The 25114-nt window shown below is 45.5% G+C and overlaps 1 long non-coding RNA gene across 2 annotated transcripts in view, besides 1 other annotated feature; it reads right to left on the bottom strand.

Annotated features, from left to right (window-relative positions):
• LOC105374764 (uncharacterized) overlaps window positions 1-25114 on the bottom strand; it is a 48875-nt gene that overhangs the window by 11935 nt on the left and 11826 nt on the right. Inside the window, exons 2-4 of one of the 2 annotated variants that reach the window (XR_002959390.2) lie at window positions 21080-21135; window positions 9495-10399; window positions 2113-2264 (exon numbers count right to left, since the gene is read on the bottom strand). This is a non-coding gene — a long non-coding RNA (uncharacterized LOC105374764). Of the gene's footprint in view, window positions 1-2112; window positions 2265-2454; window positions 2613-9494; window positions 10400-21079; window positions 21136-25114 lie in introns of those variants that run through there. The other variant, XR_001739095.1, reaches the window with a different exon arrangement.
• Window positions 11358-11407: an enhancer, noted in NCBI's record as "active region_15866". NCBI's record gives its function as "activates an Ori minimal core promoter by ATAC-STARR-seq in GM12878 lymphoblastoid cells {active_cell/tissue: GM12878}" and the evidence as "EXISTENCE:reporter gene assay evidence [ECO:0000049][PMID:35858748]".

The following is a 25114-nucleotide window of genomic DNA, read 5'->3' as shown; positions in this document are numbered from 1 at the left end:
CTATAGCTCCCTCAAGAACCCTATGCATGCACACAGAGTTAACTTTGGAAAAGGCTTAACATCCCTTTGTGATGCTGAATCTAAATTGCCTGAGAGCTGATAATTATTTTTCATTTTATGCATATCAAAAATTGTTTATTTTTAAAAAGATTCTGTTACATTTGAGACCATGTACCCAGAGAAGCACAGGGCCAGTCGTATTTCAGAATGTACTCTACCATCAGATAGCTTATATGGATGCAAAGAACTAGAAACTATCTTTAAAGCAAAATCCACAGAAGCTAGATGACTGCAACCTCCAGATGACTAGTCGCCTCACAGACCCCGTTCCAACTTAACTCTTGTCAAGTGTCTTATCTGGACACTTGGGAGGGCAGGGGAAGAAAAAAAACATGGAAATATTTTAAATAGTCAGTTACATGTAGATTTCTAGCCATAAGAAATTGAATTACTATATACTGAGCTTCTATTTTATGCCAAACTCAATCTTCTCTTGACATATACGAACTAAGAAACCCCCACCTCAAGAAAAAAACTTGCAAATAGCATGGCAAGATTACCTATCTGCCCTTAGAGTTCAGTGGAAAAAGATTGTGCTAAATGGCATCTTTGCTGGGATTTCAGCATCTAACATTCAAAGATCTAAACAAAGCCTTCGACATCTAGTCTAATCCTTTGTTTCACAGGGATATGCAAGACCTGAGCACCAAGGTCACACAGCAAGTTAGCAAGATGGGAAATAAAAATCATGTCTATTGATCTGCCTGTGGCAGCACAGGCAGGTTACATTATTTCAGAGGTAACTGTACCAAATGAATTACCATCACCAGCAGTAAGTCCTTAAAAAGGCTAAGGGCATCTGTTAATTCATTACCAACTGCTCTATGCTGGACCCGCTCACAAGGAGCTCACATCGATTTTCCGGTGCAAGTCCCTGCCCAATATAATCTTTGATAAGAAGAAAAAAAGCAAGACAAAAGCAAGGGTCACGAAGGAGCCTTGGGGAAACAACTGGATGTTCAGGTTAATTCCTACTCACGTCTACTTTGATCAGAGTCAGGAATAGCATCCTATGGAAGTATTCCAAAGGCAAAGTTGCGAAAGAAAAATCAGTACAATGAACATCCTCATAGTAAACGACCTTATAACATGTTCCAAGTTCTAGAACAGTTCCTGGACTTTGTCCGTATCCTTCGGAAAATGTTTTCTCTGGTATTTGTGGCCAAAGGCATCAGAATAAGAGCTCCACCCTGACCTGCTCAGGGTACAGGGTTTCCAGGAGATCCCAGCAGTTGATAAACACAGCCAGTGGCAGGGTGCCTGGGCAACCGATACCTGGGCAGGGAGCATGCACATACAGCATGCCAGGCTGCGTGGGGGCATGGACTTCAGTCCTCTTGGCAGCGAGGATCACCACAGAGCTTTAGGCCTGTCTCACACTCATTCACATCTAAAGACAGAAGAAATAGGCTGTTCTGGACAGTCTCCCAGGGTGTCCCAAAGGCTCCTCTGCGGCTCTTCCCCTCTGTTGCTGACCTCCACCTGTTCCTTGAACACACCACACACAACCCTGCTGCAGGGCCTCAGCACCATCCAGAAGCCTGTTCCCTCGAGGGCTACATGGCTGTCCCTCATCATCTTCTCAAGGAGGCCTTCCTTCACCACCTTTTGAAGCCTTATCACATACATGTGCATACACAAAGCCCTATTTATCCCCTTTATCTGATTGTTATTCGTAGAGCATATCAACTCAGATACTCTGTAGTTTATCCAGTCTATCTCCTGATTAGACTGTGAAGTACACGAGGGAAGGGATTTGCCTTTTAGGTTTGCTATTGAATCCCCAGTATCCCAAACAACGCCTAACCCATAGTAAAATGCAATACAATATATTGCATACATGGATGAATTAATAGCCAATTCTTCCTCGGGTTGGGGGACAAGCATAACATTCCCATGATGCAGACTGAGAAAGGGTCTGCTCTCCATGGGAAATGACATGGCCTAGCATCGGGAGACTTTGCCTAGTTCAACTTGATCCTGGCTGAATCATGCCTAATCCAAGTGTGGCACGTGCCATTGGTCACCAGCAGCCAAGAGACCTATCCATACCTTCAAGGAAGGGGCACCTCTTCTTCACCTTGTGGGTTCCTAGAGCATCCTCAGTGAGGGCCCTTATCTGGTAAGACAGGGGATCAGGCACATCCATTCCTTGAGAACTTGAGTGTAGCCAGGAAGCATACGTGACATTCACAGCATCTTTTCTAGGAATGTTTAGGAAGGGAGGAGAAAAAAACAAGCATCTTTTCTAGGAATGTTTTGAAAGGGAGGAGAAGGAAACAATCTAAACACCACTTGGTAAAGAAATGTTACATTGTTTTTAAAGATTCTGAGATTAGACAGTAAAGTTAGGAAACTATATTGTGGACTATTGCGTTCATTAATTTAGCTTACTTAAATTCAGGATTCTTTTCCATCAAGTAATTTCTTAGTTCATCTCTGTAGAAAAAAAGCTGACTTTTCACATGCAGGTTTAGCACAGGGAGTGTTTTTGTTTGTTTTTTAAGAGACAGTGTCTCTCTCTGTCATCCAGGCTGGAGTGCAGTGGCACAATCATAGCTCACTGCAGCCTTGAACTTCTGGGCTCAAGTGATCCTCTCCTGCCTCAGCCTCCTGAGTAACTGAGACTAAAGGCATGCGCCACCACGCTTGGCTAACTTTTTTGTATTTTTTGTAGAGACAGTCTATGTTGCCCAGGCTGGTCTTGAACTCCTGTTCTCAGAAGATCCTCCTGTCTCAGCCTCCCAAAGTGCTGGGATTACAGGTGTGAGCCACTGTGCCCAGACATGTATTTCTTTATAGCAACACAAGAACAGCCTTATGCACTTGGGTAACCTTTCCACATTCATGCTTAACAGAATGCCAGCTCCTTGTGTCCAGGCCTTCCCACTGGCCATTGCCCATACCTGAGGTTGAGACCTGAGGTTGAGATGAATGGTCATGATCTTCAGTGCCCCAGTAGAGAGATGAAGCACCGTGGATTTATGTCTCATGTCCTGGTGTTCCTGGAGCTCTGGTGCTGGGACAAGGGTATGGTCTCCAACAGTACCTGCTGAGGGATTATCTGTGGCCCAGTGGGTTGGCTCCAAAGCCAGAGAGCAGCCTAGTGCTCAGCACTCTCACTCTTCAAACCCAAGAGTTTGGCCTAGATGCTGCCAGCAGGTGGAGGGTTCTGGGCAGTCTGGTGCTCAATCCTGCCTTCCTGAGCACTTTCCAAATCCAGAGGCTCCTCTTGGAGAGAACTGATGTCCCATGGGGCAGGTGAGGAGTCCAGGCTTTCTCTTTTGGTCACCCCTTCCCGTGTCTGAGCCACTTTTCCATCCCTCTCTTCAAGGGCAACTCTGGACCCCAGCACTCTCTCCTGTTTATGTGTAAAGAGCAGAGAGGACATGGAGGGCCATTCTGAAGGGGCTGGCAGCAGATGGTTCACCAAGCCATCCTGCATGGGTTTAGCCTTCAGTCTGGGGAAAGTAGTAGCGAGCAGGGTTTTTGTTAGACCTTGTACTCCATCCCATGTCTTGCTTAGCTGCAGCCTTGGGGCTACTAAGGTTTCATCCATTAACAAAGGATCTTCTTTTCCAGTGGGTAGAAGGAAGAGAGGGATCATATGCTGGGGGCCTCCCCTCTATCCTCTGAGGCTTCCTCATTTCCCATTTGAGAGGGCCCCCCAGCCTCTGCCCTTCTGTTTCCCACATGGACGACACTTGGATCTGAGATGGTTCCTAATGGAAACTGTGGGGCCAGAGCAGAGAGAAGCTGCTTATACCAAAGCTCACGGGGGATTCTCTCTTGGGCTCAGCAAAGGCATAGTACTGGCCTTGGAATGCAGCACTGGTGGGTCTTGGGGTCAATCTCCTGGAAAGCAGCACCACGTTGCCAGCCAGTGGCCCTGCAGCAAACACCTGATTCCCAAGTGTCCACATGCATGTAAGACCTTCCTCTCCACAGTCGGGGAAACCCCATGGAAGATGAGCTCTTGGCACAGTCCTTATGGCCACCAAACCCTTGGATATAAATGACAATATGTTTCTCGGCCCATCTCAGATGACCCAGTTGTACCAGATGTTTGGCAGGTGGCTGGATAGATTCTGTGGCAGCGAGAGCTCCTCTAATGGATCCTTCAAAACCACACGGCACCTTCTGATTGGAATATACACTACCCTGAGGTTTTGTCTCACCTCTGTGGGTGAAGGATGGAACAGACAGGAGAAAGATGAAGGAACCAGGTTAGTACAAGACTCAGTTGAGTCATAGAAGTGCATTATAAATGCCACCTATTCAACCCCAAGTTAGCATAAGACTCGCCTTAAGTTACACTTATGGAACAGAGCTACTGGCTTCTCAGAAGGCTCTCAGCTCATGTCACCAGCCCTAGAAGCTTCTCTTCTACTTCCCCATAATTCCTCCCTTCTCTGATTGCCCTCAGTACCCTGCAAATACTTGTATGCTGACTGTTGTCACACATGGCATTAGTCATGCTACATTTGGCTGTCATTGATTTGTCTCTAACCCTCCACTTCTTGATGGCAGGGACCGGCTCTTGTCTTCCACTTGCCAACAAGCACTTTCAAGTGCCTGCTGGATGGGAAGTGATCTTACAGCATCTCCAGCCTCTGCTCTAGAACACAGGGGCAGAGATCTCGGGGCCAAGATCTCATTTCCTTCACTGACCCAGACCTGGGAAGGTGATAAGAGGAGAAGGCTAATCCAACTCATGGCTTGTCAGCAAGCAGGAAAATGAATGACACTTGGAACACATGGCAGGGTCCCCAACAGGCTCTTAAGGGGCCTTCTGCCATCCTGATGCAGAGCTCTCAGAGGGTGGCGTGTGGGTCAATAGAGACCCCCTCATCCATCTATCATTTGCCATCCTTCTTAACCCTTCCCCATCTGAGTTCTCTGAAGCCTCTCACCTTGGCTTTCAGTGCTACTAATCCTGGCATCGGCAGCTTGGAGAGAACAGGCAAGGCCCACATCTAGGCTCTGTATGATCTCATCTCTGCCCTCCAGTGATTACAGATCTCAACACTCCATGAAGGAATCCCCAGACATCAGATACAGTGCTGAATTGGAACACCATGAAGAAAGCTGCCCACAGCTTTAACTTCCTAAAGAGACTGAAAGTTTTATTCAATTCCCCTGTAGAAGTCATAATTGCCAAGTTTCACCAGAGGTGAGAAGGAAAATAAAGTAAGAGAGAACATTTACCTCTGGTACCCAAAATGTTTTATTTGCAAATAAGAGGTCTCTATGGACCCTCTCCCCACCTTACCCTCCAGAGAAAACCAGGATGGGATTAGAACAGCAAAAACTTGCTAACAGCCCCGTTGCCCTGAGGGTACTTGCAGACACTAAGCCCTGGGACAGCAGGAAAATTAGGACACAAGTCTGGGACTCTTGCCCTGAGGAGAGCCCTGGAGGGCTGGTATGCTTCTAGGTTGGTGCTCACCAAGCTACAAGCAAAAGCAAGTCCTCTGCAAAGGAAAGCATGACAGTTTAGGCCTAGAGCTGGGATCTGCAAACTATATCTCATGAAACAAATCCAGCTGCTGCCTGTTTTTTGGAACTACAGTTTTATTTAAATATAGTCATGCTGTGTATATAAATGATGGAAGTTATTCTAATCTGCCCTGCTCAATACAGTAGCCACTAGACACATGTGGCTACTGAGAACATGATATGTGGCTAGTGCAACTGAGAAACTGAATTTCTAACTTTATTTCTATTCTCGTTTAAATAGCTAGTAGACAGTATAAGGACTAATAATAATGATGCCATTTTACAACCTTGACGACTGTGCTCTCAGAAACCACTAAGTTGCCTCCTCTCTCTCACTCTCTTCCTTTATATCTCCCAAACACACAGTGGAGTATAGATTAAGATCAAAAGCAAAGCATTTTTAGCAAAAAACAAAAAACAATTTATATCCAAGAACTTACCAGAATTTTAAGATAAAGAAGATGGTTATGTGGGAAATGTTTAAAGAAATAAAGAACATAATCAAAATAAAAAACACTACTAGGAATAGGCAGATTAGAAAATAAATGAACTTCTAGAAATGCGAAATTGAAATAAAGCCCAATGGATACTGATGTCAGCAATTTACTTGAAATACATCAAAAATAAGATGAATATATAGATACAAAGTATAGTAAAATACTAATGGTAGAATGTAGGTAGTAGATATTGGTTGTTCATTTTAAAGGTCTTTCAACTTAGCCATACGTTTGAAATTTTGTGGTAAAATGTCAGAGAAAAGAAAAACTCATGAACCAACAAACTCACCCATAATTTAACACAAAGACAAGGAGATAAAAACATGAAAGAAGAGATTTGAAGGCTCAAATCAGAAAGTCTTAGATATCTAACTGAAGTCCCAGAGAGAAAAAGCAGAAAAAATGGAAGAAAGAGCAACATCTGATGGCTACAAGTTTTCCAGAACTGATGAACAACATGAATTCACAGGTCCAGGATGTACAATGTAGTAATTAAAGATGGCCATAAAAATTTCCCTACACCACCCCTTGTGGGGTAGTGTCTAATCCTTCTCCCCTTGTATCTGGGATGGCCTCAGCAACTTGCTTAATAAATGGGACCTAAAAGTCACGCTTTAAGACTCCCAAAGCTAAGTCAGAACCAGCCTTAGTTTCCATCTTTGTCTCTTGTTTCTTACAAAGCCAGAGGCCTTGTAAGAAATCTGAATAGATAAATCTCAAGACTTTGAAAAAGGAAGAGGGACACGTCTGAGTCCAGCCTCCCAGCTGTCCCCACTGATGTTCATGTTGTAAACGCATGTGAGCAAAGCTATTTTGGACCTTCCAGACCAGCCCAGATTTCAGCGAAACACCACAAAGATACTGCGGCCAATCTCGTGTGGGGTGGAAGAATTGCCCAGCTGATACTTGCTTAAATTTCTGAACCACAAAAGAGGTAATAAAATGGTTATTTCTTTAAGCCACTAAGTTTTGGGGCAGTTTGCTATCCAACAAATACCTAGAACTTAGTATGCTCAAGCAAAATTTAAAATAAAAAAGGAATTGACACAGACATAATGAAATTGCAAAACTTTAAAGACAAAAAGATCTTAAAATAAAGTCAGAGACAGGATTGATCACCTTGAAGAAATGTCAGTTAGATTCCATAGCCAAAATAGAAACAAGAGACAGTGGAATAATTTCTGGCAGATGTTGAGAGAAAAAGTTTTCAACTTAGAATCATGTACCCAATACAGTTATAATGAGGCTAGGTGCGGTGGTTCATGCCTGTAATCCCAACACTTTAGGAGGCCAAGGCAGTTGGATCACCTGAGGTCAGGAGTTCAAGATCAGCCTGGTCAACATGGCAAAACCCTGTCTCTACTAAAAATACAAAAATTAGCCAGCATGATGGCAGGTACCTGTAATTCTAGTTACTCAGGAAGCTGAGGCAGGAGAATTGCTTGAACCCGGGAGGTGGAGGTTGCAGTAAGCCGAAATGGTGCCACTGCACTCCAGCCTGCGTGACAGAGTGAGACTGTCTCAAAAAAACAAAACGAAACAAATTATCATGAAAGAGGGTGAAAGATACTAGATAAATAAAATCAGAGTCTGCCTTCAAGAAACTGTAATGAAACTTCTAAAGTTCATTTAGAGAAGGATGGTTTGAAATATAGAGAAGAATGTGGACAAATAAAATACTAAGCTTTCTTTACAGATAAGAAAAAAAGCAGTACCCACCAGTGTAGTTCTGGGGTGTCACAGTCTCCAGAGAGGATTCACTCTCTTCCCAGGGGACGGGTGGGTGGAATAGCAGGAGCCCCCACACCCTGGGTCCTTTTGCCAGTGGGGGTTCTCTGGAAAGCTAGGAAGGGAACCTGGCAGATCCCAGGTGAAGTCTCTCCATACCTGTTCCAGGGAGTGGGTGGATTTCCAGATCTTAGCTTCCTTTAGAGCAACCCCTTTGGAGGGTGAATGGCCACGTCAGTATGCTCTTCAAGGGACTCTCCAGAGGAGGTCACTGCCCAGCCAGTTTACAGCTCCAAGACCAATGCAGCAGCCACATGCGGTCGCACATGTCTTTGGCCCTGAAGGAGCTTCACATCCAGGGGAGGGTGCCGGAGTGTGAGAAAGCCAGAACCCAGGAACTAGCCCAGGAGCAAAGGGATGCAGTGCATCACCCAATCTTCCTCCTTCAAGGAGGCTGCTCCTTCTGTGCTGCCTCTGCTGTATGAAGTAGCTGGGAACAGTTTCCCACTTGACCTCAAGTAGTGAGGACCAGCTATTGTCCCACTAGGAACAGCTTCCTTGGGCCCAGGGCAGGAGGTACTCACTAGACTTCTAGATGCCAGCTCCGTTTCACCCTGGCTTTGGGAGTGAGCCAGAGAAGCCACTGAGCTCTGCAGAAGGCACTCCATGTCAGTCTGCAGAAAGCTTGGATCGCAGCTCCCAAGGAGTTCAGCAGAAAAGCTGCCAGCAGCCTCTCTCTCTCCTTGACTGAACAAGCCCTGGGGCATGGCTGGACTTAAAGAGCTGAGGGAGGGATCTACCTCCCCTCTAGTCTCAGATAGGACATCCGAAAGCAACTGTGAACCTGACAGCAACCACGAAGCTATTGTAGACATTCCCATGGTCCCCCCTCTAGTGTTCCGGGTTCTCTGTGGTAGGCAGAGGGTGGGAACACCAGTGTAGGTTGGGAAACATATTGGGGGGCAGTTGTGGCTACAGGAGCTTGTTGAGGGGCCATTGTCAGCATCACCCTGGCCAGGTTCTCCAGCAATTCTGTGGCCAGCCCCTTTGGACTCCAAGAAGTGTGTATTGAGTCTCTTCTTGTAAAATTCCTATGGTGCTTTGAGGAGACACCCTCTGAGATCACACCACGGGGCAGGCTAGCTGTCTGTCCTGGCTCAGGGAAGGCTGAGGATAAGGCCATCCAAGGGAGAAGATATGACTTCACCTCAGAGGTAGCCACTCAAAGGCCATGGGAGAGAGCAAGAGGTATTAACACTTTGCCACCCAGAGATGCATCTGCCAAGGTGACTCTTGCCTCACTGCAGATGAGCTTGGCTCTTGAGCAAGCAAGCCCCTTGATGGTAGAATTTGGGATGTCTGTAGGAATTCACCAAAGCCAAGTCAGTCAGAAAGCACTCAGCTGGGAACACAGGAAGAGCAGAACTGGAGATAGGAGAAGGCTGTGTGGTAACAGAAGTAGGATCTGGCCTGCCTTCCAGAGACAATCAGGCCTCAGTGGCCAAGCCTGCCCCAGGCTCTCCCCATAGGAAACATGGCGTGTCACCAGGCAAGATGCTCGCCTGTACAGGAAGCTGCTTTTACCTTCTGGGAAGCATTCCACTTCCTGAGAGGGGCTGAGAGAAAGCAGCTCCCTTTCCCAAGATGTCATTCTTTCCCATAAGCCCAAATCTGAGTGGTTAATTGAATTAGAATTAGAATTATAGGTACCTGCCATCACGCCTGGTGAGTCCACAGAGGCTGGCCCATCTTCTGAAGTGTTCTCCTGCCTTCTCCATCCTACAAGTGAGGACCAAGCTGCCAGTTTGGTGGTCACCATGGAACTTGTTATGGAACTTGCAATGCTGGAAGGGACCTCTCTGCTGAGGCCCAGGCAAAAGTACTCTTTTCTGAGTTTTCTGACCACCTTGTATCAAAGACTGATGTTTCTACAGAGGTTGAAGAAGAGGCTATTTTCAAAAGATTCTTCTCACTTGTCTCTGGCAACTTGGTGGCCAGGATGCTCTCTGTGCGTGCTTGCTGAATAACATGAGAGATTGGCTGAACCACGTGGGGCACCGAAGTTCCTGAGATCCCAAGTCTCTTCTCCATTTCAGTTTTTGGACCAGTGATGCTTTTAACAGGTTTGGAGGAGGTTCTTTGAAATGGAACTGGAGACTTTGTAATACAGGACTTCATGATCTTTTCCCTTGAATCTGCTCTAGGATCCCAGAAGACACGATACTTCCCCTGCAGTGCTTTATCTCCGGTGTCAAGCATAGTTCTCAGCTAGCAAGACCACATGCACAGCCAGAGCCTGGGTGGCAGAAACGTGTACTCTCTTGTTCCAACAGGCATGGAAAGAACATGGGGTCATGTTCTTTCTATCACAGGGGAGACACCCTGAAACATGATCTTGTCAGGGTTTGCCTCATAATCATTGATTCCTGTGGCCCTAAGTCCACGGGCATAAATAACAACGTGGCTTTGGGGGCCGGCCCAGATGGTCCCCTTGTACCAGATGTTCAGAGGAAACCAACTTCACATCATCAGGTTAGAGAACTCACCCACCTTGTCTCTCGGGACATGGCAGCATTTCACGGGGACGAAGATTTCTGTCCAAGAGAGTCTGAGTCCTGTAGGAAGGAAAGAACTAGGTGGAGGCACTGGGAAGAAAATCTGTTTATATGAGTGCTGTCAACAGCAAAGCTTCTGTTTTGCCCTTTGCATACATTTCCTATGCCTGGGCCAGAAAACAAGCACGTTCAAGTTGTTGAGGGGAAGGTATGAAGAAAGAGGCTTAAAGAATAAGAGCAAAAAGACATAACAAGTGATTCATAGGATATGGTATTCCCTTCAGCTGACATCTAGGACCGGCTCCCTCAAAAGAGTAGGGGGAATGGGGTAGGACCTTGTAGGGGAAGAAAAATAATCCTTTCTACCCTTCATAATTCTTAACCAGGACTCCCTGTAACAAAGACAGGTTAACAAGCAAAAACACAAAAAGAAGTTTGATAATGTGTATATCTCCTGTATATATGGGAGATAACCCAGAGAAATGAGATTTCAAAGAAAAAGTTTAAACTTGAGGTTTAAATACCATCAGTTCTCTGAAATGAAGAAAGAAGTGTATGGGGAAAGACCCTGTTAAGACCAGAAGACCAGGAAAAGCACCTTAGACAAAGGTAAGGTTGTTCTGCAGGTTTAAGTCATGCCTCCTCCATTAAGTGTCTGGTGATTTAGCCATCCTTCTCCTCCTGGGACAGAGAGGGAGACACTCTTACAGGCAGAGACTTCCTTTATTAATATAACTTTCTCTTAAAATTGTAACTTTTCAGTCATATTTTTGTGGTGGCATATTTTAGTGTCCAACCACCTGAAGTCACTCACAGAGGGAAGTCATCTTCATGGAAGCCATTGAAAAGGTAGCTCTGGCACCTGCTGAGAATAGTATGGGGAAGGAGAGCTTTCCCTCTGTCCTCTGAGGCTTTGATGGCTGAGTCTATGAAACAAACTGGCAGTAGACAGATTCACAGTAAAAATGAGAATACGAATTTATTACATGCATGGGGACATCACATAAAAGAAAAGTGTATATCCCCCAAAACCTGGTGAGATCTAGAAGCATATTTACTCTCTTCATAGGGGAGGCTGGAGGGTGATGTAAGCAACTTAGGGAACTGTAAATGAGTTTTGGTGTGAATAGACCCCCTCTCGCCAAGGGAACCAAAAAACAAACCTGAGTTCCAGGCCATGATGGGCTGGGAGGTTAGATAGGTCTTGTCATCTACCCCTTCCTTCACCCAACCCCCATTAGGCCTTCTTCCCTAAGGGTTAAACAGAAACCAGCTTTCGACAGACTTGCTTCACCAATTTCAACCAATCACCTAATGCCGTCCCTCCCTTTTGCTGTTTTGACACAGCAACAGACCAGCATTCTTTCCTAATAGAGACCACCAATCATGAAGTGATTCTGGTCAGTCTACAGAGGCTGTGCACTGAGGGCCTTCCTGTCCTTTACTTCACTTTTTGTTGTAGAGTCTAACTGAATGTTAAGTCTTTACCCCAAAGCGAACATGGAATGCACGTTACATACATGTTAGCCTACTACACATGCACTCACTCCCCTTCATTAATATTTATAGCTCCTCCCATAACCTGTTGAATATGTGTATTTAGCCCTTCAGCATAAATTCCCATCTCATCCTTCTTTCCCTCAGAGCACTTGCTTTTCAGTTTCAGCTAGTAGCTCCACGTCCTGCCTGCAGGTCGTGGTACCCTCCTTTCCAAATGTACGAACCTCGTGATTCTTCATTTGATGCTGGGAAAGATGAGTGGGCCCTCAGAAGAAAAGGTGACAGCCTATGACGAAGTCTGTCTGGGCACGGAGTCAAACCTCAGTCTCCTCTCCTGTGTTATGAGTTGGTCTTGGTTGACGAGGTTCCTGGGGAAGTCTTGACAGTTGAGTTCCTTTTGGAGGATTGTCTTTAGGCAGATAAGGTGAGCTCAAAGCTAGCCTCTGCCTTCATCCACTGTCTCTCAAAATGCCCTCAGTTCAAAGCAATCAGCACACCAAAGCATATTTTGGGGTGGCATTTTCTGAACTCCTTCAGCAGACAGATCACAATGAGGCATCATTTGCTCAGCAGCAACATAAATTGAGAAGCTGCTGGTGTAACACCCAGATCAGCCATTTGCCGCCCAAATTCCCAGCACAATGTTGGGCAGGCAGGAAGTTGTCTCAAATGGTCGCTACTATCAGGAAAGTACCTTTACTCCCCGAGTCTGTTTCCTCATCTCTAAGGCTGTCATCACTACCTGAAAGGGTTTTAGCCCAGGTTTAGTCCATAGCATGCTTTCCTATGTTCTCACAACTGTTTTTATTCTATTGGGAGTGGGTAGGGGTGGAAGATTCAGAAAAGCCTAAGATATGGCCCTTGAGGACATGGTCCAGTTATGGACAAAATCATGTTTGTGGAGAAGTACACAAGCCAGCCTATGATGGCCAGTGGAGGCACTCAGAGGAGAGTGAATCCTGTGAATCCCTCCATGTTGTTCCTATCCTCTCTATTGACGTGGGGCTTTGGGGAAGACTTTAGACTACAAAAAAAAAGGCTCCAGTCAGTTGCTTAACTCTTCTCCACCCCAGACTAATCCATGAGCATGTCCTGTTGACTCCTCCTCCAAAGTATCTAGAATCCAACTAGTTTTCACCCTTACCTCCATACTGCCATGTCTCACACTTGGCATCTCCCTAACTCATCTCCCTGCTTATACTCATGGAATGGTCCATTATATAAAGTGATTTTTGTTCAAAGATAGATACCACCGTGCTCATATCAATACCTTTTAGTAGCTGGCCCATCATTCAAAATGAAATACACTCTTGCATGTCATAATGACATCTTGGTCAACGATGAACCGCATACACAATGGTAGTCCCATAAAATTATAATGGAGCTAAAAGATTCCCATCACCTAGTGAAGTCTTGATGAACTAGCCTCGTGTAGGCCTAGACAAATATGTTTGTGTCCACATTTCCAACAAAAAAAGTTTACAAAGTAAAAAAAAAACAAAAATTAATAGAAAAAGGCTTATAGAAGAATATAAGGAAAACATTGGCTGGGTGTGGGGGCTTATGCCTGTCATCCCAACACTTTATGAGGCCAAGGCAAGAGGATTGCTTGGGCCCCATCTCTACCAAAAAGAAAAAAAAAAAAATAGGCATAGTGGCACACACCCGTTGTCCTACTCAGGAGGCTGAGGCATGAGGATCACCTGAGCCCAGGATGTCAAGGCTGCAGTGAGACTAGATTGCACCACTGCACTCTAGCCTGAGTGACAAAGCAAGACCTGTCTCTAAAAAACAAGCTATTTTGGTACAGCTGTATGTACTTGTTTTAAACTAAGTATTATTACAAAAAATCAAAAAGAAAACTAAAAAATTTATAAAGTAAAAAAGTTTTAGTAAGCTAAAGTTAGTAATTGAAGAAAACAAAATTTTGAATGTAGTGTAGCCTAAGTGTACAGTGTTTATAAAGCCTACAGTAGTGTACAGTAATGTCCTAGGGCTTCAAATTCACTCACCACTCACTGCCTCACCCAGAACAACTTCTAGTCCTACAAGATTCATTCATGGTAAGTGCACTATACAAGTGTACCATTTTAATTTTTTATACTATATTTTTACTGTACCTCTTCTATGTTTAGGTATGCTTTGATACATAAGTACTGAACAATGTGTTACAGTTGCCTACAGCATTCAGTACAGTAACATGCTATACAAGTTTGTAGCCTAGGAACAAGAGGCTGTACCATACAGCTGAGGTGCCTAGTAGTCTGTACCATCTAGGTTTATGTAGGTCTATGATATGCACACAAGAAAGAAATCACGTGATGCATTTCTCAGAACATATTCCTGTCATAAAGTGACATAAAACCATACTGACACCTGAGGGGTACCAGAATATGCCACCCCAAAATGTGCACCATTGGCGTATAAATTATTTTCAGCTAAACGTCATTGAGAACGAGCAGATTCAGAAAAAGCTCTAAAAACAAGTTTTTATATCGTAAAGAAAATTTATATTTATAAAGGAAATTTCCCATCGTAGAGGTGTTTCCCCCTCCAGGAAAGGAAGGATTCTTAACTCTTCTCGATGGAGAAGGCATCAATCTGTGTAACAAACCTTGATACACAACCCTTGCTTACGGTACTTTTCAGGATCGTCTTCCCATAACCTGCCTTCTCTAAGAGCCTAAAACCCTGTTGTTGTTGTTGTTGTTGTTGTTGTCGTTAAGAGAAATAAAACTAAAATCTTAAGGCTCCCAACTGACTGGATGGACCCCCTCTTTGCCAAGCATACCCCAGAGGAAACTTAAAACCTGAGTTCCCCACCATGACCAGATGGGAGGTCAGACAGACCCCATTATACTCTTCCCTCCCTAATTGCCATTAGGCCTAGTTTCCTAAGGGCTAAACAGAAACTAGCTCTTTTTTAAGTAGAGACAAGGTCTCACAATGTTGCCCAGACTGGTCTTGAACTGCTGGCCTCAAGTGATCCTCCTCCCTTAGCCTCCCAAAGTGCTGGGATTACAGGCATGGGCTACCAACCTTGACCAAAGCCATCCCTATCAAAAGACTTGCTCCACCACTGATTTTAGCAGGACTCCTCTCCCCTTTTGCAGTTTGATACAAATACTAGCCAGTATTCCCTCCTGATAGGGGGCCACCAGCCAGGAACTGGTGGTGGCTGGTTTACAGAGGCTGTGCACAGGATGCCTCTGTGACCTCTGTTTCACTCTTTGATAGAGAGCCTGATTCTAATGCATTTAAGTGTTCAGTCTCCACCCCCAGAGTGAACATGGGATGTATGTAACATGCATGTTTGCTTAGTATGTATGTATACATCCCCCTTCTGAATATTCACAGCTCCTCCGATAACCTGTTGAATATGTATACTTAGCTAACCCTTCAGCATAAATTCTCATTTCACCTTTCCTCCTTTGAAGTACGCCCCAGCCTGAGGGTGGCCAGCCTGCAGGCTGCAACCCTTTATAAGAAATAAAGCTCTCTTTTCCAAATGTATGGACCTCATGATTCTTGAGTTGACAGGTATTTAAACCCAAGTTCTAACTACCCCTTTGGGTTACTTATCACTGAGTGCTCTTATATGTGCATGTGTGATGCACATGTTAGGAAACTATTTTTCTTCTGTTAATGTCTCTCTGGCCAGTCTCATTTACAGGACACCAGCTGGAGAACCTAAAAGGGTAGAAAAAACAATTATCTTCCCCTACACACCTATGCAGGACCTCTAAGGCTTCTCTTGATCTGGCCACTGCCTCCTGGACCTTACTTCCTGCATCTCTCCTCCTTGCTCGTTCCCTTCTGGCTATACTAACTTCCTTTCTGTTCTTAAGAATACGTGAAGCTCATTCCTACCTTAGGATGTGACACTACTGTTCCCACTTCCCAGGATACGCTCTCTTCATTTGGCTTTCTCATTTCAACCAGCTTTCTACTCAAACATCACCTCAAAGAAGCCTCCTCTAACCACTATCAAAAGTAGCCTCCCAACCTTATGTTTTTCTTCCTATCACCTAAACATAAAAATATGGTAGTTCTATCAATGGACCATCTCCCCCACTAGAACATACGCTGCATGGAAGAACATACTTTGATTTTGTTCATTGCTACATTCCCAGGGCTTAGTATAGTACCTAGCAAATGAGAGCTACTCAGTAAATGTTGGCTGAACACATAAGAGCCTGTCAGCTATTTGACACTGTGTCACTTGGATGGACGTAAATAATCATAAGTCCAGTAATAAGGCCACAGGACCAGTGGGGGTAGTTAGAGGGAGAGGTTTCAACCCAATATAAGTTAAATGTAACTGAGAACAAACATGTCTCTTGTTCCTAATAACTAGAGTCTACTTAGCAGACGTGGATGCAAAGCAGGACAGTGGTTCTCATACTTGAGTGAGCATCAGAACCACAGAGAGGACTTGTCAAAAATAGAAACTGCTGGGCTCAGAATTTCTGATTCCTTAGGTCTAGGTGGGGCCTATGCATGTCTAACAAGTTCCCAGGGATGGGGCGTTATTGGTCTGAGGACCTCACTTGGAGAGCCATTTGTTATAGAAGTTTGGACTATATAATCACCTTTCCATCGACAGAAACCCAGGGAGTAGACTCAGAAAGAGTATGGGCATGTTGGCCTTCAAGTATCACATGGATCTAATAGCTGATCTTTACTGTTGTTATCCTCATGTCACTAACCTTCAGGGAAAAACCTTCTTACCTAAATTCTTCCAAAAATCAAGTATTTCTTCCCTTATGGAGCATTCCCTGCCTTCGCTAGTCCATGATGCCTGTAATCCCAACACTTTGGGAGGCCAAGGAAGAAGGATCACTTGAGCCCAGGAGTTTGAGACCAGCTAGGGCAACATAGACTCCATCTCCACAAAAAAATTTAAACATCATTTGGGTGTGGTGACATGCACCTGTGGTCCCAGCTACTCAGGAGGCTGAGGTGGGAAGATCACTTGAGACTGGGAGGGCAAGGCTGCAGTGAGCTGTGATTGCACCACCATGCTCCAGCCTGAGTGACAGAGCAAGACTTTCTCTCTTTCTTTCTCTCTCTCTCTCTCTCTCTCACACACACACACACACACACACACACACACACACACACCAGATACAGGTGGATACAGGAGGAAACAATAGTAGAAAATTCATTCAATTCATTCTTCACCTCCAAAGCATCTAAATCCAGGCCTGACAGAAATACACCACTCAGAAACACACCAGGAGGAGACTTCTCCTTCGTCCCTTCTCCTCTGGCCAATACAACAGATGTCAAAAGCACAGCCTGCTCTAGAATCCTGCACAGACAGGGTTCAGCCCCACATGGAGACTCCAGGTGCCCACGCAGGTGTTACTGTGGTGGTATTCAGCACCGGCTGCATATTGGAACTGGTTGGGAAGCTTGTAAACATCCAGACGGCCGGGTTCCACTCAAAACCAATTAAGTCAGACTCTCTAGGGGTGGGACTCAGGCCTCACAATTTTAAAAGATCTTCAGTTAATTCTCATGTTCAGCCAAAATTGAGAAAAGCTGCTTTGTTTTTTTTCCAACAGGCCCTCAGAAATGCCAGTGTAGACTTGGCAGTGTTGTCCACCTTAGTGGATCATTCATTCTGGCCCTTAGGATGATCCTGGTTCTTGGCTGTTGCATATCACTCAGCTCTGAGACATAACCTCATACAGGGACAAGAAACACTTAAACAGAATCAAATGCCAGAGCAAAGCCTTCTCCATAGGCCCAACCTCAAGGTTACATCTCTCCACTTAATAGTGTTGTCAGTTTTGAGTTCCTACAAAGGCCAAAGGCGGTGCCTCTCAGCCATAACCCTGGTCTCATTGTCTGGATGGAGGCAACATTGTGGGAGGCTGGCAAGAGCCCCTCTCAGGACAGAGCAATCAGCTTCAGTGCCTGCAGCACTCTGACTTCTATTTCCTCTCGATTTTCCAGAGTTTTGGAGTAAACATAGAAGATGACACCAGATGGTTGGGCACAGTGGCTCACGCCTATAATCCCAGCACTTTGGGAGGCTAAGGCAGGTGGATTGCCTGAGCTCAGTAGTTCGAGACCAGCCTGGGCAACACGGTGAAACCCCATCTCTACTAAAATACAAAAAATTAGCCGAGCGTGGTGGCAGGCACCTGTAGTCGCAGCTACTCGAGAGGCTGAGGCAGAATTGCTTGAATGAACCCAGGAGGCGGAGCTTGCAGTGAGCCGAGATTGCACCACTGTACTCCAGCCTGGGCAACAGAGCAAGACTCCATTTCCAAAAAAAAAAAAGAAGAAGAAGACGCCAGAATAGAATTAGTAGTCCTGGTCTTAGAGGTGTCACAATTTGATGACCCCCTCCTCACTCATTTCCTCAAAGGCCAAAGTCCCAAAATGTTGATAATAATGTAGATTTTTTACCCGTTTTACAAACATGAGTACCTGACTTGTCTGTGTCCCTACAGTGTCATCCACCTCTTCAAGAGCTCCTCTGCCTGGGTCACTGGGTTTCTGGGCCTGAGGCGTTTGCCTGGCATCCCCCAAGATGACGGATTTCCCGAGGTCAGGAGCTAAGCTTTATGGGTCTCTATCTCCTGTGGTTGCCCCCATGCAGGGGTTCCAAAAGCATTGATTGGTTGGTAGAAAATATGGGAGGCCACATTTGTAGAAGAGGAAGCTGTTCTTCCCCCTGGGCAGGCTCTCTTGAGAATTAAATGTGATTAAGGGCACAGTGGGCAGCAGGTAGCTAAAGCTCACCTTGGGGGAGTTGTCAAGAACTTCACTCATCACTACCCCAGGGCCCGATATCCCAATGTCCACCTGATGTCTGGCAAAAAACATGCTTCCTTCTAGGAATAGGAGGTGCCTGTTGTGCACAGAGGCCTTTTCTCAACTACCGCCTGTCTAATTTATCTAGCAAATGGCCCCAGGAGCTACCCCTCTACATCTCCCCCTTGCCCGAGGGCATCCAAAGGGGCTCGAATAATATGCTGATATGCAATTTGGGGGCCTGAGGTGCACAGCCATGCATCACCCACTCCTGGAAGGTCCCCTCAACCCAGGGCTCCCCAAGAGCAACGGGGTGGCAGGCCAGGCACTCTCTGCATGGAGCCTGGGCAGCCCCTGATTACTCACCTCTTTGGCTCAGGGCCCGAGAGCCAAGCCAGGCTTGGGGCTAGGCCTGCAAGCTAGTCATGGAGGTGGGCCTGGGCCTGGCCCTCAGGGAGCTTCCATTCCAGCCATCAGGCAAGAGAAGGAGACCAGGAGGAAGAAAAGCCTCGTGGAGAGCAGGGGCCCCATTCTGACCACAGCTCCCTTCCCTCTTCCAGCAGCAGTGGTCTGAGGTGGTACAAAGCTTCCACTGCCTCCTCCTTTTGGGCAGCTCTGAGGCCTGAGGATGTAATTAACTAATGATGCACCTGTTCTTCATTAACCAGTGAAGCAGGGATGCCCAACCACAGCTGGGATGGAACCAATACTGGGGGAATTAAAGATCAAAAAACACCAAAGGCCAAGACAAAGCTGATGGAGTGGCTTCTTCCCACTCACCCCCCACCTCCACCCCACCAGCCCTTACCAGAGACTGAAAGAGATTCCTCCTCACTTATTTCTCAGGGGATCTTGCTGAAGCAGGAAATTTCCCTGACCCCTTGTGGGTGGGAACTGGAGTGTGGGTGTTTGAACTAGCTACTTCAGTGCTAGCTGGGGCAAACCCCACTCACTGGAATCCACCACACTCAACCCCTCCAGGGATGGAGCATGCAGGTGAGCGGGTGCAGGAGCCAGAGAGAGCGCTTTTGGGTGACAGCCGGAACAAACTCTGTACTGGCCCTGCAGCAGTGTCTAGGGGGGTGCCCACAACCCCTAAAGCCCCAGAAGGAGTGTTTCAGTCAATGCTCTTTTAGCTTTGCCATCTGCAGATGGCTTAAGTGTTAACAGCTCAGTGGAGGGTCAGTGTGACAGCCCTTTGCACCCACACTCAAATTCTTATCTGAGGTCTAGGAGGAATGAGGTCACACAAACAAATTGGAGATGATAAATGCAGGGGATTTTATTGCTGATGAAAGTGGCTCTCAGTGAGAAGGGGAGCTGAGAAGGGGAGGGAGTGGGTAGGTAATCTTCCCCCGGAGTCTGGCCATCCCTGGCCAGACTCCTCTCCAAAGCTATGCCATCAAGCTGTCCCTCTGAAGTCAAGCCCCTTCTCTCCGACATTCAACCATAGTCTCTGACATCCAACTGCTTCTTCTCTTCTCTCTCTGCTAGTGGAGCCTGGGGCTTTCTTGGGCACAGGTTAGGAGTGGGGCGGGCCATGGGTGGTTTTGGAAAAGGCAACAGTCAAGCAGGAAAACAGGAATGTTCTCACTTTGGGCCATAGTTTTAGGCTTGAGGGTGAGGCCCTTGCTGGAGACCCACCCACTTCTGCCCAGAATTTCCCTTCTCCTGTCCCTATCATTGCCACCCAAACCTGGGCAAAGGTAAGGCTGAAATTCCCTTGGCATGAAAACAAGATGGACATGAAGAACTGCTAGACCAGGAGTCACTCCAGCCACCGGCCTCCCCTTTTCTGAGCACTTCCTTCCTGGTGCTTCCTCATCACTCAGCTTTCCTCGGAGTGCACCCTCAAGTCTACGGAACCTGCTTCCAGAAACCTACTGGCATTAGTCATTTGCACCTTTGTGTGATTTCAGTCCTTATGTCATCTCTCCCACCATAATCCCTGGTCCTCTGAGTGGAACATCAAGGTCTTGTAGCCACTTTTCCTGGGTTGAAGAACTCCAGGCATGGCAAAGCCCTGGAAGAGATATGGGGTGGAGGAGGGATGCAGAGGAATTCTGGGTCCTGAAATTAGACCATTTAAGTGAATCTTGCCATCTCAGGCCCCGCCACTCCGAAAGTGTTGGCACTTCTCAGAGTTATGTCCTTGGCCAAGGTCCCTCCACACTTCTCTCGGGTCCTCTCTGCAGCACACAGGACTTCCACCACCACCCATTCCCGATGCCCTCAAATCCTTACCTCTACCCGGTGTCTCTGAGTGCCCTGCCTTGGGATCAGGCTGGCTACTGAATGCTCAGTTTCTACCTGAACATGTGGTGTCCCCTTCCCCAGATGCCATCTGATCCTTCTTCCATAGCTTCATCAGTGGTACCATTCTACTTGGGTGACACCTGCCACATAAGCCCCTCTCCTCTCCATCCATCATTCCACTTCCTTGGTTAGAGCCCTAGAACCCTCACTTACCTATGAGAACAGTCTATGTTTATTGTGAGTTTGAGGAGTCCTTGTAGGTGGTTTTTCTGCATGGAAAAGATTAAAGATAACTTTGGTTTTTAAAAAAAAATATATAAGTTTTTGGCATGATCAATTTAAAAAATCTTCCTTTAGCTTTTTTTCCAACAGTAATAATTTACTATAAAGAATTAACTAGGCATACATTTGTTGACTGTATCACCAATAATTATAATTATACTTTACTGGGCAACATTTTCAGTAAGTAGAGCTTTTAAAGTTCTAAGGATTGAGCACTTTCAGGTGTCATTTCTCTGTCTCTCTCTCTCCCTCGATATATATATATATATATATTTTTACCATCTTAACCATTTTTAAGTGGCACATTGTTCAGTGACATTAAGTATATTCATGTTGTTCTACCACTGCTAACATCCATCCACAGAATTCTTTTCATCTGCAAAACTGAAACTCGGTACACGTTAAACACTAACTCCCCATTCTCCTTCCCCTGCCCCAGCCCCTGGCACCACCATCCTGCTTCTGTCTTTATGAATTTGACTAATCTAACCTTACATAGGTAAAATCATATTGTATTTGTTATTTCATGACTGGCTTATTTCACTTAGCAGAGTGTCCTGCAGGTTCATCCATGTTGAAGCATGTGACAGAATTTTCTTCCTTTTTAAGGATGCATAATATTCCACTGTATGGCTATACCACATTTTGTTTATCCATTCATCTGTAAAAAACCTTCCTTTAGATTTTAAGTTCTTTGAAAGATTTTCCCCCCATTTATAACTGTAGCAAATTATAGCAAACATCTTTAGAATGTTGTTGGTTAATATTTGGTCCTATTTATAAGCTTATGTATATACATTCAAACATTTTAAACTACTTTTATAAATTTAATATATGCAATTTCTTTTTAAATACCTCAATTATCTGACTTAAACAAAATCTTAATAACTTTTTGAAAATCTAAATATAATAAACTGATAAATATAGCAATACTTAAATTATTCTAAGTCTTCCAACATAGAAATTTATTAAACTTTCAACTTAAAATCACAAGTCTAACTTCTTCAGTTACACTTTTAAATTCAAATTATAGGCCTGGCACAGTGGCTCACGCCTGTAATCCCAGCACTTTGGGAGGCCGAGGTAGGCAGATCATTTGAGTCCCAGAATTTGAAACCAGCCTGGGCAACATGGAGAAACCCCATTTCTACAAAAAACACAAAAAGATTAACCAGGTGTAGTGATGCATGCCTGTACCTACCCAGGAGGCTGAGGTAGGAGAATTGTTTGAACCTGGGGGGCTGCACTCCAGCCTGAGTGGCAGAGCAAGACCCTATTTCCAAAAAAAAAAAAAAATTCAAATTATAAGCCTCAGCTGTTCCTCTCATAGACCAAATTCTCTTAAACATCATAAGTACTTAAAATGCCAACTATGTGTAGAGTATTCCTAAAACAAAAGAATTAATACTGGCCAGGCGCGGTGGCTCACACCTGTAATCTCAGCACTTTGGGAGGCCAAAGTGGGCAGATCACGAAGTCAGGAGTTCGAGACCAGCCTGGCCAATATGCCAAAACCCCGCCTCTACTAAAAATACAAAAATTAGCTGGGCATGGTAACACATGCCTGTAGTCCCAGCTACTCGGGAGGCTGAGGCAGAAGAATTGCTTGAACCCGGGAGGTAGAGGTTGCAGTGAGCCGAGATCGCACCACTGCACTCCAGACTGGGTGACAGAGCAAGACTCCATCTCAAAAAAAAAAAAAAAAAAAGAATTAATACTATCCAATGTATTTGAAATACTTTCTAATTTCTATACTGTACTTAATCTTTAATTTTCATGGGCCTAAAGATGTTTTCCCAGAGAGGAGAGTTTTCCAGACTTACCAGAAAATAAGAACCACCTGGGCATTTGTCAAATACACAGATTCCTAGGCCATACAATCCCTGAATCTGCATTTCCAGGAAAAAGACCAGGTAATCTGCATGATTATAACAGCCCCAGATTTTTTGTTGTTGTTGTTGTTTTGTTTTGTTTTGTTTTTTTGAGAAGGAGTCTTGCTCTGTCGCCCAGACTGGAGTGTAGTGGTGCCATCTCGGCTCACTACAAGCTCCACCTCCCAGGTTCACGCCATTCTCCTGCCTCCGTCTCCCCAGTAACTGGGACTACAGGCACCTACCACCATGCCCAGCTAATTTTTTTTGTATGTTTAGTAGAGATGGGGTTTCACCATGTTAATCAGGATGGTCTCGATCTCCTGACCTCGTGATCCGCCCACCTCGGCCTCCCAAAGTGCTGGGATTACAGACGTGAGCCACCACACCTGGCCTAACAGCCCCAGTTTTATCTTATCACTGTGGAAGTTTGGAAACACTTTACTTAGGGGAAAATTGCTTCTCAGTCATCTATGGACCAGATTTTGGCCAGGCTCTGAATAGATTCTTGTGGGTAACTCTGAAAGGATCCCCTACCCCTTTTTTATCTTTCATTTCAGGGTTGTTGTAAGTTAAAGGAGGTGGCTCACCTTCTTTTGATGTGTATCACATCATTATTCAGTTTTCAAATCAGAGTACAGCCTGGGGCCTCATCACTCTCTGGCTGTATAGATAATGTCAATATCTTCTCTTTCTATCTCTGAAGAACTTTTAAAAAATTCTTCTCTCTTCAGGCTCTCAGGACCACATATCTTTAGAGACTGACAGGCTCCTAAGAAGCACCCTGATTCTGGCCTTGCCCCCTCCACAGGGCTCCTATGTGATCTTCCCAAGATGCAAGAAAAGGGCACACCCTACTAAACCCTCCCCTGGCTGCCACTGCCAAGGTCCTATTGACCTAGAGGAAGAAGGCATGAAACACCATTTTAAAGAGTTTACTTGATTTTTAAATTTTTATGTATTTTTTGTTGTTGTTGCAGAGACAGGTTCTTGCAATGTTGCCCAGAGCTGGTCTTGAACTCCTGACCTCAAGCAGTCCTCCTGCCTTGGCCTACCCAAAGTGTTGGGATTACAAGGATGAGCCACTATGCCTGGCCTTAAAGAGTTTATTTGAGCCAAAGTGAGGGCAGCTGCCCAGGACATACTTCCAAGTTGCCCTGGGGAGTGTTCCGTTCCACCTTTGTTACAAGCAAATTTTCAAAGGCAAAAGGGAACAAGGAGTGGGATGATATGAAGTTCTTTGACAGTTCTCATTGGTTTTCAGAAATAACACTGATTAGTGATTGGCTATACATTGTTGACCATTGTTAAACTATAGGGTATGAGTTATGGTGTCCAGAGTGTGGCATTTTATAGCTACTGAGTGTCAGTTAGTCTAGAGCCCACATGGCAAGTGGCTTCAAGAGGGAATTATTGATCTCATGCGGAGAGTGAGACATAACTACAGCCACATTTTAAATGTCTCTCTGGGCCTGGTATTTTAAAAGGGCTGACGTTCCTCAGATTGAAAAGTTTCTTTTCTTTCTCACTCCCTAGCCTGGCATGAAAAGCCTGGCTCACGGCCCACTGCCCTTTTCCCAGGTCTGTGTCTCAGGCCCCCTCCACCAGGTCCCAGCTGCACTGAACTCCCCACAGTTCTCCAAAGAGCCCACTCCATGCCGCACCTGAGCCCAGGCACCTTAACGTGCATTCTAGGAGAATTCTCAGAAGCAAAGTTTGCGACCCGCTGAATCCCATCCAGGCCTTTGTCCTTGACGTTTTCTCCGCCTGGAGTGCCCTCTCCTAACTTTCTGATTCCCACCACGCCTTTAGGGCCCGGCGTAACCATCTCTTCCTCTGTGGAGCATTCCTTGACTACTAAAATCAAGTTCATCTCTCCTCTGTGTGTCCCCACTGACCTAGCAGATACTTCAGTTTGTAAACATCTGTGATGATCACTGACCTAGACAAAGCTCAGTGAGGCCAGGGACCCCGTCTCTTGTTCATCACTGAGGTGCCAGCACCATGTAGAGCCAGGCTCACTCACTGAATGATGTCCCCATGTCTCCCCCAGCCCCATCGACCACGGATGAACAGATGTCCCAGGCTCCCCTGT

The sequence above is a fragment of the Homo sapiens genome, chromosome 2 (assembly GCF_000001405.40).
Source record: "Homo sapiens chromosome 2, GRCh38.p14 Primary Assembly".
NCBI lineage: Eukaryota > Metazoa > Chordata > Mammalia > Primates > Hominidae > Homo > Homo sapiens.
This window is presented reverse-complemented; position numbering and strand designations above follow the sequence as displayed.